Genomic DNA, 17,769 nt, shown 5'->3' with positions numbered 1-17,769 from the left:
CAGTGCTGTCCTCACGATAATGAGTGAGTTCTCAAAAGATCTCATTGTTTAAGTGTGTGGCATCTGCTGCCCGCCCGAAGCATACATCCCCCAACTCTCTTTCTGCTCCTGCTTCCACCGTGTGATGTGCCTGTTCCCGCTTCACATTCTGCAATGAGTCAAAGCTCCCTGAGGCCTCCCCAGAAGCCCAGCAGATGCCAGAGCCATGCTTGTACAGTCTGCAGACTGTGAGCCAATTAAACCTGCTTTCTTTATAAATTACCCAGTCTCAGGAAGTTATAACAATGCAAAAACTGCCTAATGCAATCCCTTAAATAAGCAGAATCAAATGCGTGAGAAAATAGAAGGAAGTATATGAAAGCTACGGTGTGCTTAAATTTTCAGGTCAAATGTTTTGTAGCTGGTTTTGAAGAAATGAAGTAGTTGGGAAGTGTTTCTTAACTGACTTATCACGAATAAATGATGAATGTTGGAAACCTAGTAGGCACACTGGAGAGGGAGTAATAAAAACAATCTTAATTCCTTTGCATCTGACAAAGTCAACATGGCTTCTGCAGCATAGTTGTCATGTGAGTTCATGACTGTGTTTCTCTAATTTGAAAGAACAGATTTTAAAAAGTTTGGGAAGTTTTTGGAATGTGACAGGTAAAGGCAGGTAATAACACTGATAGCCACTAATTCTCTGCCTTATCATTTGGTGATTCCTGTGTCTTATGACTTTTGAGGGACAGGATTCTCTAGGAAGGTTTCTGAAAGAAGTGACAATTAGATTGGGCTTATGTTTCCTCTACCACTGACGCATGGCATGTATCATGTGTGGCATATATGTTAATCATTAAAGGGTTTTTTTAATTGTTAAATCTAACTATATAAATTAACATTTAAAAATCCATTTTCATCACTCAAACTAATTACAGATTTTTTTTTACCACATAACACAAATTTTATCTGGCTGATCTTGTCTCTCAATTCTTACTATATAGTATAGCTTTACTAGAAGCATAATTTCCTGGATAGAAGCTTCCATTTCTGGCAGGGCATGGTGGCTCACGCCTGTAAACCCAGCACTTTGGGAGGGTGAGGCAGGTGGATCACCTGAGGTCAGGAGTTCGAGACCAGCCTGGGCAACATAGCGAAACCCTGTCTCCACTAAAAATAGAAAAAATTAGCCAGGCGTGGTGGTGAGCGCCTGTAGTCCCAGCTACTTGGGAGGCTGAGGCACAAGAACTGCTTGAACTCAGGAGGCGGAGGTTGCAGTGATCTGAGATCACACCACTGCACTATAGCCTGGGCAAAAAAAAAGAAGGTTCTATTAAAAAAAGAAGGTTCATTAAAAAAAAAAAGCAAAGAAGAAGGTTCTATTTCTGTAGGTTTCTTATGGGCCTCTGGAAGGTCTATGCCTAGTTTTCATAGAGGACTCAACCTCTGAAATTGTAGGGATACTTTTTGTGTCTATGCATTTCTGAGAAAAAGGTCAGTAGCTTCATCTGATGGCTTGAGGGATAAAATTTCTGATTCTAATCAGAATTTTGGATTCTAATCAGAATCTAATTTTTTCTGCCTTGGTCATTACTGCTTCCAGGATGTGGAAAATAAATATCTAGATTCTCCTTATGAGTCAGGAAAAACTGATTTCATTTAGTCACCCTCAACATGCAGAGCCAAAGATTGCAATAGACACTTTACAATAGAACAGTTGCAGAAATGTATACTCATTTCCCTGCTTTTCAGGTGGGTTTCATGTGAAAATAATGATAAATTAATTTTCTTTTATCATTCTTTACCAAGCTTAACAAGACTTTAAGAAATTAGTATTTTTAGAAGAAGAAACAGCTGCTTTAAAATTCACCAACTTAGACTTTTCTTTCTGCTCCTCCCCATTAATTATGACAATAACCCTGGGAAGAGCAAGCAACTCAAAAAGAACTGGTGGAGGAGACAGTACAATGGACGGCTCAGAAATTTAAAAGCATCATGATGGAATATTATGAGCAAATATATTGAACCAATGGGATAGCCTCGAAGAAACTGACACATTCCTAAAAACATACAATCCATCAAGACTCAATCAAGGAGAAATAAAAAGCTGGAACAGACCAGCAACAAATAAGGAGACTGAATCACCATAGAAGCACAATTCAGGGATATTTAGCAGATCCTTAAATATATTTATTGAATAAATAGATCTTTTTTTACAGGAGGTGCTGTCAAAACAAACAATGTTCTTGTTTGTTTGAAAGAACTTCCCCACGCAATATGATTTTTTTTCTAAAATACGTGAAATGCAAACTCTTTCCATTCTTTTGATAGTTACACTACTGAAATTTATGATAGATTATTTTACATAATGATTAGTCTCTTAAAGATCTAACTTACTACAAATTTACTAGATGTGATTGTTACCCCAAAGTAATGTTCTGAAATGAACACATTAACTTAAATCTCCATATAGTGTAAAACTAAGTTACTTTTCCTACTATTGCGATGAATAAAATATTTGCCGTAGAAAACACATAATTATTACAGATTCATGAGACTGCAAGCATATGAAGTCTATATAATATGAAAAACATTTTAAATCCGTATTATGACAAATGTTTACAGATTTTGATTATTTCTTCAATGACTTGACTACAATATTCAGATACATAAGGAACATGTGCTCTTGTATAAGCATTTTCCTTTAACCATAAAAATATTTGTTCAGTAAGAAGACACTATTAAAAGTCAAATTACAATAATGATTAGTACGTAATTTAAAATCAAATCAAAATTGAATATGAAATTATTCATTAATTATATAAAATTATTTTTTAAAGAATTCAGCAAATCACTCTACCTGGCCATATTTGGCTGCCAAGTGGAGGGGAGTCCAGTACTGATCATCTACTATGTTGAGGTCTCCACCATGTTCCAGGATAAGAGACACCACCTCCTTGTAGCCACTCGCACACGCCATGTGTAACTGCAGCGAAGAGACATCTTATTATTCATTTTTTTAAAGTAGTGATATTCATGCAGTTCACTCAGTGGTTTAAAGAGAGCTACTTAATGAAATGGTGGATCTAAAATACAGAGACCATAAAAACAAAAGAACATACATGCAATTTTATTTATTTGGTATAAATGGGTGTAATTATCAGTCTTTGAAAGTACGCTTATGTTTATTAATTTTCCTTCCAACTTTGATAGTGTGCACTTTTTCATGTAACTCCCATCCCCCTCCGAGTTCCATTTCAATGCAATCTGAATATTTTAAAATACAGAATATAATAATTGAAAAGCTTACCACTTCTTGCCCAAAGGTAAAATATTTGCTGATTAGCTCTATATTCCAGGCATTGTATTAGTGCTATAGAAAGTGATTCAAAGAATAACTAAAAGCAGGAAATGTGGTCATTGTGATGCTTCTGTATGTGTAAAAGGCACAGAAACACTGAAAAGGATTAACTAATCCCGGCGGCTTAAAAATGATTGTGTAGCTACCATTGTAACATTCTCCCAGTTTTAGTTTCTTTTTTAATTATATTTTTGAGACAGGGTCTCTCTCTGTCACCTAGGCTGGAGTGCAGTGGTGGAATCATGTCTTACTGCAGCCTTAATCTCCAGGGCTCAAGTGATCCTGCCACCTCTCCCTACTAAGTAGCTGGGAATACAGGTACGTGCCACTAAACCCAGCTAATTTTATTTATTTATTTATTTATTTATTTATTTATTTTGGTAGAGACTAGTTTTAACCATGTTGTGTGTTACCTAGACTAGTCTTGAACTCCTGGGGTCAAGCAATCCATCTGGCTTGGCTTCCCAAAGTGCTGGGGTTACAGGCATGATCCACCATGTCCAGCCCCAGATTAGTTTTTTAATGGAATCTTAAGTTTAGAAATAAGGCCTTTGGAACAATAATGATGAGATCGGGGTTTGGAGAATGTTTTACATTTTTCAGGTGAGGGAATTCCTGTTTCTAAGGTAGCAGCCTGTATTTCTATATAAACTATCATCACACTCAAATGACATTACTAAGCAACTACATGATGTATTTTATAAACATAAGAATTAGGAAGAAGAAACTATCAGAAAAGAAAGAAAAAAAAACCTTAAAAGTAGTAAAATCAATGCCATCTTCTAGGTTTGATAGCACGGAATTTTGTAGCTCTGTTCCATTGTGTTTTTATTACAAAGACAAAATTAAAGTCAAAAAGGCTTATTCAATGTGTACATTTTGATAAAATCTAACAAAAACATTTATTTTTATAGCTTTGGACCTAATTAGGCTCTTCAATCTACGGAGTGTAAATATATGTTTATTTCTTGTAACTCAGCTACATTAGAATAAATATATTCATCTAAATGAAGACACTGTTTCACATACATTTTCCCATGCTTGCTACATACAGAATTAATCTTATTAATATTCTAGGAAACAGTCCCCAAAATGATATATCCATAAGTATTTTAGAAAATATAATTTTACATACTTGCTCTCCTAGAGAATTGATCTATTCATCTGCTTCTAAATTGATTCTACGTTATCTGAATAATCAGTAAATGATTGGCAGTTACTCTGTGCTATATGCAATAATCTGAATCTCAGAAGATACTAATTTTTAGCATAAAGCAGAGTCTACAAATGGAATCAAGAATGAATCAATTTTCTGGTTAGCAATTGATACTAACGATGTCAAGTTCACAGGGCCAATCCCTGCAGGATTAGATTTGCTTTCCATACAGCAAAAATTGGCTCTCACCATTTAGAACTTAGTCCAACCCTGGGCCACTTACCACAAGCACAGCTGGGAAGGAAGACTAGAAGTCCTGGCTCACTCACTAGAGACTCTATCCAAAGTGTTACTACCAGTGACCTTTGTGGAGGCTGGCAAGTTTACTTCTAGGTAATCCCAAAACCAAAATAAACAAACAAATGAAAACCCTAATTGAATACTTCTACTTAATCACATGAGATAACCAACTTTTCAATTATCATAATACAATAGCAGGAGTTAAGAGCATTATTTTGAGTCTACTGGCAATCAACCTCTGAATCCATAAGCAAACAGCTAGCCTCTGTGGGATATAGTTTCTCATCACTAAGAACATGTTAGACCTAGAGTTAAAAGATTAAAAACAACAACAACAACAACAAAAATGTCTATTTATGAAATGGAATTTATACTCCTACTACTTGTCCTGACTATGACTAGAGGATATCAGGTGCCCAACTGCAACAGTGTTGATCCCTGTGGTGTCTCAGAACATTCCTCTCCTGCTACTTTAAGGGCCCTGTGAGAAACACAGAGGTGGTTATCATTTCTGCTGTGAACTAGCAGCAGCATATTAGCAAACACAGTTCCCACGAAAAATTACAATTTGGAAATCACCTATCTAGCTACAAAGCAGGACAGGTGGTCAGAGTGGCTTCTAAAACATTAGGTATAAAAGCCGTGAATTATTTCTTCTAATCTTTACCATCTGTGACATGATTGTTGCCCTTATTTTGCAGATGGAGAAGCAGTGGTTTAGAGTTTAGGTAACTGGCCCAAGGAAGAAGCATGGTTACTGAGATCCGAAGCCACGCTCTGCAGCCTCCAGCACTCAGATTTGAAATAGCACAGAAGAGTGGACACACAGTGAGGTCAAGCCACAAGGATAACACTAACATACTGAGGCTCCTAATACATCTTGCATTCATACCATCATTTTTGTATGTTAATATAATTTTTTTCTTATTTCTGTAAACCACTTCTATGTCCCTCACCCTTCCACATACTAATTTTATATTAACATTTTAGTCTCTGGATGATACACAATATCTATATGCTTGCTTTGGCCTTCCCATGGCTCTCCATCAGTGCAGGCAGTCTTGTTTGGTAAATGTGGCATATTGCCTCCTGGTATGCTTTGCAAAACCATCACCAAGTCTTAGTGTTTTTCAGCTATGAAAGCACAGGAGCATCCCAGGCTCCACATTTGGGAGTCTGAGTCTACTCTAGAAGGGATCTCCTGTAAAACTGCACCCTAACACACACATATCCAGTGTGATGTAGGCCTGGGTAAAAACAGACAACAGGGTCATTTGGTCATTAGAACATCTTCTCTTCTTATGATCCCATATAAGGATCAGTTTTCATTGCATCCGGTCAAAGCCCCCAACACTGTGCCCATTTCATATTATAGCATCTCAGTCTTTGACAGCCTGTTCGTTTCATTTACTGATAGTGTTAATTGCTAGAAAACATACTGTGGACTACCAATTATTTCTGAAGTTTGAGATTTTCATTTTCCCAAATAAAAGATAGTTCTAATATTTGAAAAACAGTACCTCAACCCAATATTTATAGAAATTAAAATAAGTAGCACTATCATTGTTTTCAATGTTGGTTCTCAGCTGGATCAATTGCTCTGGACAGGGTTTAAGGCAGCACAGAGCAAATGTCCACAGATGAATACCAAGATGGCCCCGCCTGGTTTCAACAGCAAAACACTCTTGGGCCCTTTCAAGCATGTATTCAGGTAAAATCCAGAAAGGTTTTTCTAACTTTAAATTACTTTGTATTTATTTTTAAGAGTTTAAGATATGTAAAATATAAAAAGACACTAAAGATACTGACAATTGGACTTTCTAGATAAATGCTTCGCTTCTCAGATTCTGGTCATTTATTTCTATTTAACGATGCCACTCCCTTGATAAAAGTAGGCCCCTCAAACAGCTGAATAACAAGAAAACAAATAACCCAATTTAAAAATGGCCAAAGGACTTGAACAGACATTTATCAAAAGAAGATATACAATTGGCTAATGGGCTCAAGAAAAAATGCTCATCATTACTAATCATTAGGGTGCTGCAAATTAAAACTACAATGAAATATCACCACATGCCTGTTTGGATGGCTGTTCAAAAAGATGACAAGTAAGTGCTGGCAAGGACACAGAGAAAGGGGAATATCTGTATGTTACTGGTAGAAATGTAAGTTAGCACAGCCATTATGGAAAATGGTATAGATATTCCTCAAAAAACTAAAAATACAGCTACCTTATGATCCACAAACCCCACTCTGGTATATATCCTAAGGAATGGAAGTTGCTATGTCATAGGGATATTCATACTCCCATGCTCACTGCAGCACTATTCATAATAGCCAAGTTCACTGTTCATCAACAGGAAAATACGTGAAGAAAATGTAGCATATATACATAATGGAATACTAGTCACCCTTAAAAAAGAAAGAAACCCTGTCATTTGCAACAACATGGATGAAACTGAAGGACATTATGTTAAGTGAAATAAGTCAGGCACAGAAAGACAAATACTGCATGATCTCGCTTCTAAGTGAAATCTAAATCAGTAAAACTCATAAAAGTAGAGAGAAGAATGATGGTTGCCAGGGACTCGGGGAGGGGAAGAGAGAAAATGAAGAGTTGTTGGTCGAAGGGTTCGAAGTTTCAACTAGACAGCAGAAATATGTTTTGAGATCCGTTGCAAAGCAGGATGACTATTGTCAACAAAAAATGTATTATACATGTTAAAATAACAAAGAATACATTTCCAGTGTCTCAACACAAAAATGGTAAGAAAAGTGGTGGATAGGTTAACTTAGTGTGATTTAATCATTTCACAGTGTATACATATATCGAAAATTCACACTGTACCCCATAAATGCATATAAGTATTATTTGTCAATTTAAAATAATATTAAATAAAATTAGAATCACTGTGTACCTAGCAATTTATTTTATTCAAATACAGTTAATATTTTCCATGCCGTTGAATGTTTGGATCACTTAAAGGCTAACTTTGATCGAGAGCTCACTGTGTACTAACTAGACAATAAGCTGAGTGATTTACATGCACGGTCTCTTTGGGCCTGGTTATCTTATAATGTGGCACTCTTATTATTCCAGTTTAAAAGATGAGAAGATGATAACTCAGAGTTTAAGGAGCCAGCACAAGTCACAGCTTGGAAGTGATGGAGGCTTCCAGGATGAGCACCGACTTGGGTCTATCTGGCCTCTTCATCATGGTGCTATTGGGCTTCTAAACCCTAGATTTTTAGGAAAGCATAGTATACAATTATACAGACACATTTTCATTGACTGGGCTAATTCCTAATTGTGGGATATTTATGTAGTTACCATTTTTGATATTGATTTTAAAAATGTTTTGTTGGTGATTATCATATATGTCCGTAGTGATTTCCATTTGATACATCCTGATTCTAAAATAATGAGCATTTTTTCAAGTTCCTGTGGCATGCTGCCATGCAGAGTTCTAGAATGTACCAATTCACCTACAGTCCAGCAGTGTATGAAAGAATGTATTTGCACAGACCCTTAGCTTTTCTGATCTTCACTATTATTTATTTCTAAAATGATTTCAAATAATTTGCATTTACTTAATTCCCAACAGTGGTCCTCATTTCATATACATAGGCTAGTTGGATATTTTTCTTTTGTGAATTGACTCTTGTTATTGTTTATTTTCTAGTAAGAGGTGGTTTTTTAAATTAATTTCTATGAACTCGGCATATTTTGAAGATATTAAAATTTTGGGAAACCTGTTGCAAATATTAGTCTCAGCAAATTACCTGTTGCCCCTTAATTTTGCTCACTCTTTAATGCAAAATGTTAATTATAATTTCTGACATAATCAACGATATTAACATTTCTGTGTTTTTTTCATATTTTTACATTGTAAGGGTCTTTGCCAGAGGCTTTTTTCCACATGTATAACTTGGAAAATATCTGTTAATTGTTTTTAATTATCTTACCCTTGTATTTGTGCATCTGATTTTTTACTAATCTGTATGTAAAATGTTAAATATTATGATATATTCCCACTGGATCTGTTCTTACTGAAGCTTTGTGACCCCTGCCACTCTGAAGCTAGAAGATCATGCTGAGGCTAATGCTATATTTTAATAAAAACTATGTTATGAAGAAATGAAAACTAATCTTGAGGACCATTCAAATACCTCTTAGGTTCAGTCAGGATTGTTGACCAATAATTTCAGGTCTTCTTCATGTATTTCATCATAACACTAACACAGGATTTTTACTATCTCAGCTTTGACAGAAGTATGAAAATACTATAAATCATATCCCAAAGTGAGACTATATATGTAAATTGGAAAATAGTTGCCCTAAAACTGCTCAGATGACTTTTGAACTCTACCTCGAGACTGAGGGCACACTAGGTCAGAAATTAAAGACAAAAGGAGAAAAAGTGTTGAACAATTTTTAAAGAGCACTCTTAGTGTGTTAGGAGTCCACTTTCCCTTCCCACTGTGTGTAGGTATCAAGGTGGATGAGAGTTCCTCCCAATTTTATGGCAAAGAGAGGCTGTAGAGACCACTCTGAGAAGCTACATATCCTGAGTAGTTTGGTGGACACAGAATAAACTGGTTTTGATTCTTGCATGCACAAAGTAAACGGCAAGAGATGGGCTTTTACCCATGAAGCTGTGGTCATTTCTGGTTCTATTTTAGGGGGTGCCTCATGGAGCAAGCACAGCTTAGCAGAGAAAATCTGGAGTGTCCTCAAACTCCCAAAAGCTGAGTGAGCATAAAGGACCATTTGGAAGAGCGCATCACCCAGACCTGGTACAGGCTAAGGCTTCCCCATGATGATGGCGGGCGGGTGGGATCCAAAACACCCCCAAATTCTCACAAAAAGACTCAAATTCTTGGTCAGAGAGCTAGATACCATCTAAAGAGGGCTCAGTTAAAAACCTTGCTCTTATTGCCTCTCCTCTTCCCTATCTGCTCCCTCCTCCCTTCTTCTTCCTCTTAACTTCAGTGGAGTTTAGTAAGGGAATGATGGATGAAGAAAAGCGCCAAGAGGAAAAATAGTAACCCATGTCCACCTTCCCTTCTACGGACTTCCCAACCTGGTACAGCACTAAGTTGGGAATGGATTTAACATTTAACTAAACTCACAGCCCTTAACACCTGGGCCCACTGACCTCTGCAGGATTTGTGGATAAAATTCGGGGGCTGGGGGTGAAAACTTGGGTGAGAAAATAGCTTTATTTTCTTCGACTCCTTAATTGAAGTTTAGCAAATTCTTCAACAATGAGCACAAAAAGCAAAGCCGTGATGTCATCATCAATAAAAGTCCTGACATTTTCATATCACTGTTCGGTTGCAGCAAATACCTCAAGATAGCATTCATGGTCAATGCCACCTTAAAATCATGGTAATTACTAGATCTGTTGCTTAGTGGAATGATATAGAAGCACATGCATTATATATCACACATTTACTTTTAATATTATGATGACTGTATTTCAACATAATTTATTTTCTAGGCACCATTTTTATTGCATTTTAAACATTATTTTGAAAGGTGATCCATGGGTTCCACCCAAGGGTCACTGGGAAGTATGGCACAAAACTTCTACAACTCCTGACTTGAGAGTTTTAATTATAATATGGGATTGGACACTTTAATTTGAGGTTGGTTTGTGACATAAAGTGATCACAGAAGTTGTATTCTTTAAAAATGACCATAAAATCAATGGCTGTCTCCATCCATAACTAAGGGATGAACCAGCATTACTGAAATAAAGGTGAAAAAAATAAAATTGCTTGATACTTGCCTCTCCTGAATAATTCTTTCCTAACAAACCAAATAAATAAGCCTCGGGGGCCGGGCGCGGTGGCTCACGCCTGTAATCCCAGCACTTTGGGAGGCCGAGGCGGGTGGATCATGAGGTCGGGAGATCGAGACCATCCCGGCTAACAAGGTGAAACCCCGTCTCTACTAAAAATACAAAAAATTAGCCGGGCGCGGTGGCGGGCGCCTGTAGTCCCAGCTACTCGGGAGGCTGAGGCAGGAGAATGGCGTGAACCCGGGAGGCGGAGCTTGCAGTGAGCCGAGATTCCGCCACTGCAGTCCGCAGTCCGGCCTGGGCGACAGAGCGAGACTCCATCTCAAAAAAAAAAAAAAAAAAAAAAAAAAAATAAGCCTCGGGGCCAGATGTGATATATCAAATTATGTGCTAACACAGTAAATAATAAAACAACAATGTCTTCATAATATATATGCCAGTTATCGCATTAATATTTTCAAAGACTATATTCTCAAACTGATGAATTCACCTTCATATACTCTGTAACATGGTGTTTATTAAAATTGTATCATTTTCTGAGGCCCCTATTTAACAAGAAGATAATGTAAACTAAAAGATCCCTTTTAAAAAGAGATATGTTATATTTAGTTATTTTGTTGCAATTCTAATAAAGAAGGTAAAGGCAACTCCAAACCCGTCTTATTAGAATTTTATTCCCATTGAGCCTTTTGTTGTTAGTTTCCTCTCTTTTGCACATAACAATTTAACACTGTGAAAATTTATGCCTAATTTTGAACCACAACTGGCATTCCATCGCAGGTATGGAAATCAATCTGAACAAAACTGTCTTCTTCTCCTTATCTCCACAATAGATAAATACACTATATACCTTACAGAACAGAAAACACAAGGAAATGACAGTCATTAACATATACAGACTAACCAATTCAGACATGTGAATCAAACCAAACCACTGGCTGTTAAATGCTGTAATCTTCAAGGGACAGCATCCTAGCCTTTTGTTCATTGTTACTTTCTTGTTAAAAGCTCAAAGATAATGACCACAAGATTTGGTTATTTTAGAACAATTATTTGCAATATTTATGCTCTCTGTTCAATAAAAAGAAGGTCACAAGGAAAGTAAAAACTGAAAATGATTGAAAATGATAGCTATTTATTGCTCTGTATTGATTACTTCAATAGCTTCTCTACTGAAGTGTGTATGCTCTTTTATTTAGCAGTGGTTGAAGTATGCATTTTGTTTTTACTTAGCAGTATTTTTTTAAAGAACTATGAAGTTGTAATATATTCTACCATACAAAGAAACAAAGGCTCTATTGCGTTTCTATTATGTGTTAGGCATTAATTCATTATGTGTAATAAATGAATTAATTAAATAACTCAATCCAATCAGATTTTTGACCCTACTAGTCCACTGAAACTGTCCTCCAAGAGAAAGTCAATGACCTCCAAGTTACTAAGTCCAATAACCAATTCACAATTCCCATTTAACTGACCACTCAGCAGTATTTGGTAGTCTATCATTCCTCCTGCTTCCTCAAAGTTTTCACTTGGTTCCGAGGACATTTCGTCCTCTTGGTTTTCCTCCTTCCTCAGTGCTTGCTCCTTCTCATCCCATTTCTGGAGCCTCCTCTTCTTCATCTCCATGGCTTGGTCCCAAATTTCTTTCCTTCTGCATACAAGTAGTGACTTCATCCAGTATCAAAGCTTTCAACATCACATATATGCTAATGTTCCTCAAATTCTTTCTTTCATCTAGAGATCTGAGTTCCAGACTCCAATGTCCAACCACAAATCCAACAGTTCCATTAAGATGGCTAAGAGACACTTCAAACTTAATATCTCCAGAACTGATGTGGTCTTTCCTGCTTTAGGTTTGTGTCTTCTTCAGCCTCATCTCATTTGATGCCATCTCCATCACACTGGTAGTTTAAGCTAAAAATGCTTGGAGTCATTCTAATCACACAACACATTTATTAGGAGGTCCAATTGCACTACCATTCTACCCCTGTTGTCTGAGCCACATTACTGATTGCCTAGATTACTGGAAAAGCCTCCTAAACAAACTCTCCGGTTTACCCCTGTCCTTTTCAGTCAGTTCTTTTTTTTTAATTTTAATTTTAATTTTAATTTTTTTAAATTATACTTTAAGTTTTAGGGTACATGTGCACAACGTGCAGGTTTGTTACATGTATATATACATGTGCCATGTTGGTGTGCTGCACCCATTAACTCGTCATTTTACATTAGGTATATCTCCTAATGCTATCCCTCCCCGCTCCCCCCACCCCACAACAGGCCCCAGTGTGTGATGTTCCCCTTCCTGTGTCCATGTGTTCTCATTATTCAATTCCCACCTATGAGTGAGAACATGTGGTGTTTAGTTTTTTGTCCTTGCGATAGTTTGCTGAAAATGATGGTTTCCAGCTTCATCCATGTCCCTACAAAGGACATGAACTCATCATTTTTTATGGATGCATAGTATTCCATGGTGTACATGTGCCACATTTTCTTAATCCAGTCTATCATTGTTGGATATTTGGATTGGTTCCAAGTCTTTGCCATTGTGAATAGTGCCACAATAAACATACCTGTGCATGTGTCTTTATAGCAGCATGATTTATAATCCTTTGGGTATACACCCAGTAATGGGATGACTGGGTCAAATGGTATTTCTAGTTCTAGATCCCTGAGGAATTGCCACACTGACTTCCACAATGGTTGAACTAGTTTACAGTCCCACCAACAGTGTAAGAGTGTTCCTATTTCTCCACATCTTATCCAGCACCTGTTGTTTCCTGTTCAGTCAGTTCTTAACACAACAGCCAGGGTAGGTGATCCTTTTAAAACGGAGCAGGCTCATGCCCCTCCTCTCTTCTGAACTTCCCACTGTCTTCCCATCCCATGCAGAGTCATAGCCGTGGTCCTCATATAGGCCCATAAAAGCTTGTGTGATCTGGTCCCAGCGCCTCTCCCTCCCTGCTGACACTGCTTCAGCCATATGGGCTCCTTGCTGTTTCCCAAGCACACCACACTCGCCCCTGACACTGTAGGAGTTTGTGGTTTGCACTTCTGACTCTCAGCCTGGAATGCTTTCCCTTCACAGCCCCACTGTGCTGTCTCTTCTTTGAAGTCATTATTCAAAACACCCTTGTTGGTTAGATCTTTCCTCTCTATCTATCCAAAATGGCAACAATATGACCAACATGTCCCTGTGTTGTTTTTTCCCTTGCATTTATTACTAGGATACTATATATTTAGCTTATTTATAGTGTATATTACCCACTTTCCCAACTGAAATGTGGATCCATGACAAAAGAATTTTGGTCACTATTATTTTGTTCATAGCATGTGGCCAATTATATTTCTTCATTAATTTAGAATGCTTTTGCCATTTGAATGTGTTATTTTTCAAAACACTCTAAATATGCTTTGCTTTCTTTTCTTATGACAGAGTTACGTTGTTATAGTCTTCTAAAGTTTACAAATTTATAAATATCGATTTTGGAAGACAAAATTTAGGAAAGTATGATTTAAAAATTTTAGAAGCTGGCCAGGCGCGGTAACTCACACCTGTAATCCCAGCACTTTGGGAGGCCAAGGCGGGCGGATCACGAGGTCAGAAGATCGAGACCAGCCTGGCTAACATGGTGAAACCCCGTCTCTAATAAAAATACAAAAAATTAGCTGGGCGTGGTGACATGCGCCTGTAGTCCCAGCTACTCGGGAGGCTGAGGTAGGAAAATCACTTGGACACGAGAATCACTTGAACCTGGGAGGTGGAGGTTGCAGTGAGCCAAGACCATGCCATTGCACTCCAGCCTGGGTGACAGGGAAAGATTCCATTTAAAAAAAAAAAGAAAGTAAGAAAAGGGAAATTTTAGAAGCCTATACAACTATAACATTTTGAAGTTAGACTTTTCTAAATTTTATCTTCCAGAATAAATATTTATAAATTTATAAACTTTAGGAGACTATAACAACGTAACTCTAAGTCATAAGAAAACAACACATTTTTAGAATGTGACCCTCTAGAGGTCACAGGCACTTAATAAATGCAAAAATTTAATAAATGTAAAAATATATTTACATTTATTACTCAAGGAAACTTTTCAGACAACAAAACTTTTACCTATTTAGTTAAATCACTTTCCTTATCAACTGTCTTCAACCTCACACCATGTTTTTTTCATGGGAGTAATGAATCACTGATTTGAAGCATTTCAATTCAATTCACACTTCAGAACTCCAAATTCCCTTCTCCTATTCTAGTTTACTTTCTCTCAAATTTTTTTCCCCTGGGTCTTACATTTCTTTCTGTCATTATTAATTTTAACTCACACTAACCCAGGTAAGTTTTATGGGTCAGTAGGGCAAAATGTTCTTATTTCGGTGATTAGACATCAAATATATACAAATTAATCCAAATTTTGTTGATCTTTTAATAATTTACTGCAACAGTGCTTGAGAGCCATAAAAAGTAATGACAGGAGTTTGCTTGAATTTAGAAATTCACTCACCAAAGTCATCCATAGTTTGTTTTACTGAACACTAAAATGAAAGCATGCTCCTATAAGTTACATTTCAAAAACTACATGGACTAAGTACTGCATAAAAATTATTTTAAATTCTTAGGAAAAACATACATAGGAGGAAGGCTTGAAGAAAATATATCAACCTAGAGATATTGGGTAGTGGCATAAGCATTTTGCATTTTTTCCTTCCAAATTTTATTTTAGGCTCAGTGGGATGCAGGTGTATGTTGTTACATGGGTAAATTGTGTGTTTTAGTGGCTTGATGTACAGATTATTTCATTACGCAGGTAACAAGCATAGTACCCCTTAGGGGTTTGTCATTCTCACCCTCCTCCCACCCTCCACCCTTAAGTGGGCCCTGGTGTCTCGTCTCCTTCTTTGTGTCCATGTGGACTCAGTGTTTAGCTCCCACTTATGAGTAAGAAAATGTGATATTTGGTTTTCTGTTCTTATGGTAATTCTCTTAGGTAATGGCCTTCAGCTGCATCCATGTGGCTATGAAGGACATGGTTTTGTTCTTTTCACAGCTGTGTAGTATTCCATGGTGTATATGGATGATGTTTTCTTTATCCCGTCCACCTTGACGGACATCTAGGTTGATTCCATGTCTTTGCTATTATAAACGGCACTGGGATGAACATACGCATGCGTGTGTCTATGGTAGAATGATATATATTCCTTGGGTAGACACCCAATAATGGGACTGCCGGGTCTGCATTTTCTTCTTTGCTTACTTAGGTGTTTTCCAAAACTTCTACAATTGACATGTATTACTTTATGATCACAACAATTATTTAAAGGTTAATTTAATGAATTCTATGTTTTATAGATCAACTTAAATTCTCTATTCAAATAGTTTCTGAGTCAAATATATGAACTTACCAGGGTTACTCCTTCATCGTTTTTCTCATTGACATTTCCTCCAGATGATAAGAAGTGTTTGACATCTGTTAACATACTCATTGGTCTCTGAAGCTTCATCTGGCGCAGTGAGGTCAAATCCACTCCTGTGGGGAGAAAGAGCCTTTCAACCAGAATGGAGAGATACTTCTCAGTTCCTGGGGGTCAAAGCCTAGCTTTATAACCTATTCTTTCAATGTGTTTTTCTTTGAAGCTTCTCTTCCACTTTGAACACTCATTCAAAGAATTGATTATCTTTGTACATATTCTATTTCCAACTATAGTCTTTAAAAAATATAAAATTATCTCTTGTTATGTTTTTTTTTTTTTTTTTTTTGAGACAGAGTCTTGCTCTGTTGCCCAGGCTGGAGTGCAGTGGTGCGATCGCTGCTCACCGCAAGCTCCACCTCCCGGGTTCACGCCATTCTCCTGCCTCAGCCTTCTGAGTAGCTGGGACTACAGGCGCCCGCCACTGCGCCCGGCTAATTTTTTTTTGTATTTTTAGTAGAGATGGGGTTTCACGGTGTTAGCCAGGATGGTCTCGATATCCTGACCTCGTGATCCTCCCACCTCGGCTTCCCAAAGTGCTGGGATGTTATGTTCTAAAGTATGATATGATGCCTTATAATGGCAGGTTTTCAATTAATATCTGTTTTAGTATAAATCATCAACATACATTACTCAAAGTATTTTAAAGTACTTAAATGGAAACAAATAACAAAGATACAGTTTTTGATCTCTTTGATTTTTCTGGCCAAAATAGTTGCTCCTAAAAGCAATCTAGTATCCTGGAATAGAAGAAAAGACTTTAGGCTGGGCACTGTGGGTCACACCTGTAATCCCAGCATTTTAGGAGGCCAAGGTGGGCAGATCACCTGAGGGCAAGAGCTGAAGACCAGCCTGGCCAACATAGCAAAACCCCATCTCTAATAAAAGTACAAACATTAGCTGGTTGTGGTGGCAAGTGTCTATAATCCCAGCTACTCGAGAGGCTGAGGCAGAAGAATTGCTTGAACCCAGGAGGCAGAGGTTGCAGTGAGCCAAGATTGCACCACTGCACTCCAGCCTGGGCACCAAGAGCAAAACTCCATCTCAAAAAAAAAAAAAAAAGACATTAGTATAAAAACTGGAAAACTATGAATAAAGTCTGTAGTTTAGTACAGTTAATATTGTCCCAATGTTAACTTTTTAGTTTTGATAAGTGTACCATGGCTATGCGAGTGTTAACATTAGGGGAAGCTCTGTGGAGGGCATTTGGGAACTCTGCGCTGTCTTTAGACTTTCTTGTAATCTAAAATGATTTTAAAATAAGTTTTTAAAAATGATGCATCAGTTGAACATTTCATGACTACTAATGTTAATAAAGATAACTAATATTGAGTGCGGAATCCACAGTCTGACTTCACCCAGGTGGGTAGGTGGTGCACAGAAGGCTCAGGTCTATACCTCTACTCAGCATATATTTTAACCTGAAGTTTCATGATGTTTCATCTGTGGCTGTGTCTCTTCATTGATGTGTCCCCTATTCCTAGCATTGGTTCCTGAACAAAATATGTATTTACTAAGGAGAATTAATTCATCTTCTTCCAAGGGAAAAATGATAATGATGGTGATACCTCCCTCACAGCAAGTGTTTGCTATGAACCAGCCACTCTTCTGAGCACTTTGTCTCTTATCTGATTTCATCCTGGCAGCAAACATCAAGAGAAAGCCTAGCACAGCGGACCCAAGAATACACTCTGGATTGA

At 37.3% G+C, this 17,769-nt stretch overlaps 1 protein-coding gene across 5 annotated transcripts in view; it reads right to left on the bottom strand.

Annotated features, from left to right (window-relative positions):
• Positions 1–17,769, bottom strand: part of MYO16 (myosin XVI) — a 712,290-nt gene that overhangs the window by 398,362 nt on the left and 296,159 nt on the right. For all 5 annotated transcript variants that reach the window (XM_011521062.2, XM_047430183.1, NM_015011.3 and 2 more), the window contains exons 6-7: positions 16,004–16,128; positions 2,840–2,965 (exon numbers count right to left, since the gene is read on the bottom strand). In XM_011521062.2, the coding sequence (XP_011519364.1) occupies positions 2,840–2,965; positions 16,004–16,128 (251 nt within the window). The remainder of the gene's footprint in view (positions 1–2,839; positions 2,966–16,003; positions 16,129–17,769) is intronic.

Source organism: Homo sapiens, chromosome 13, assembly GCF_000001405.40.
Source record: "Homo sapiens chromosome 13, GRCh38.p14 Primary Assembly".
Taxonomy (NCBI): domain Eukaryota; kingdom Metazoa; phylum Chordata; class Mammalia; order Primates; family Hominidae; genus Homo; species Homo sapiens.
Note: the sequence above shows the minus strand (reverse complement) of the source record. Positions and strands in the feature narration are given on the sequence as shown.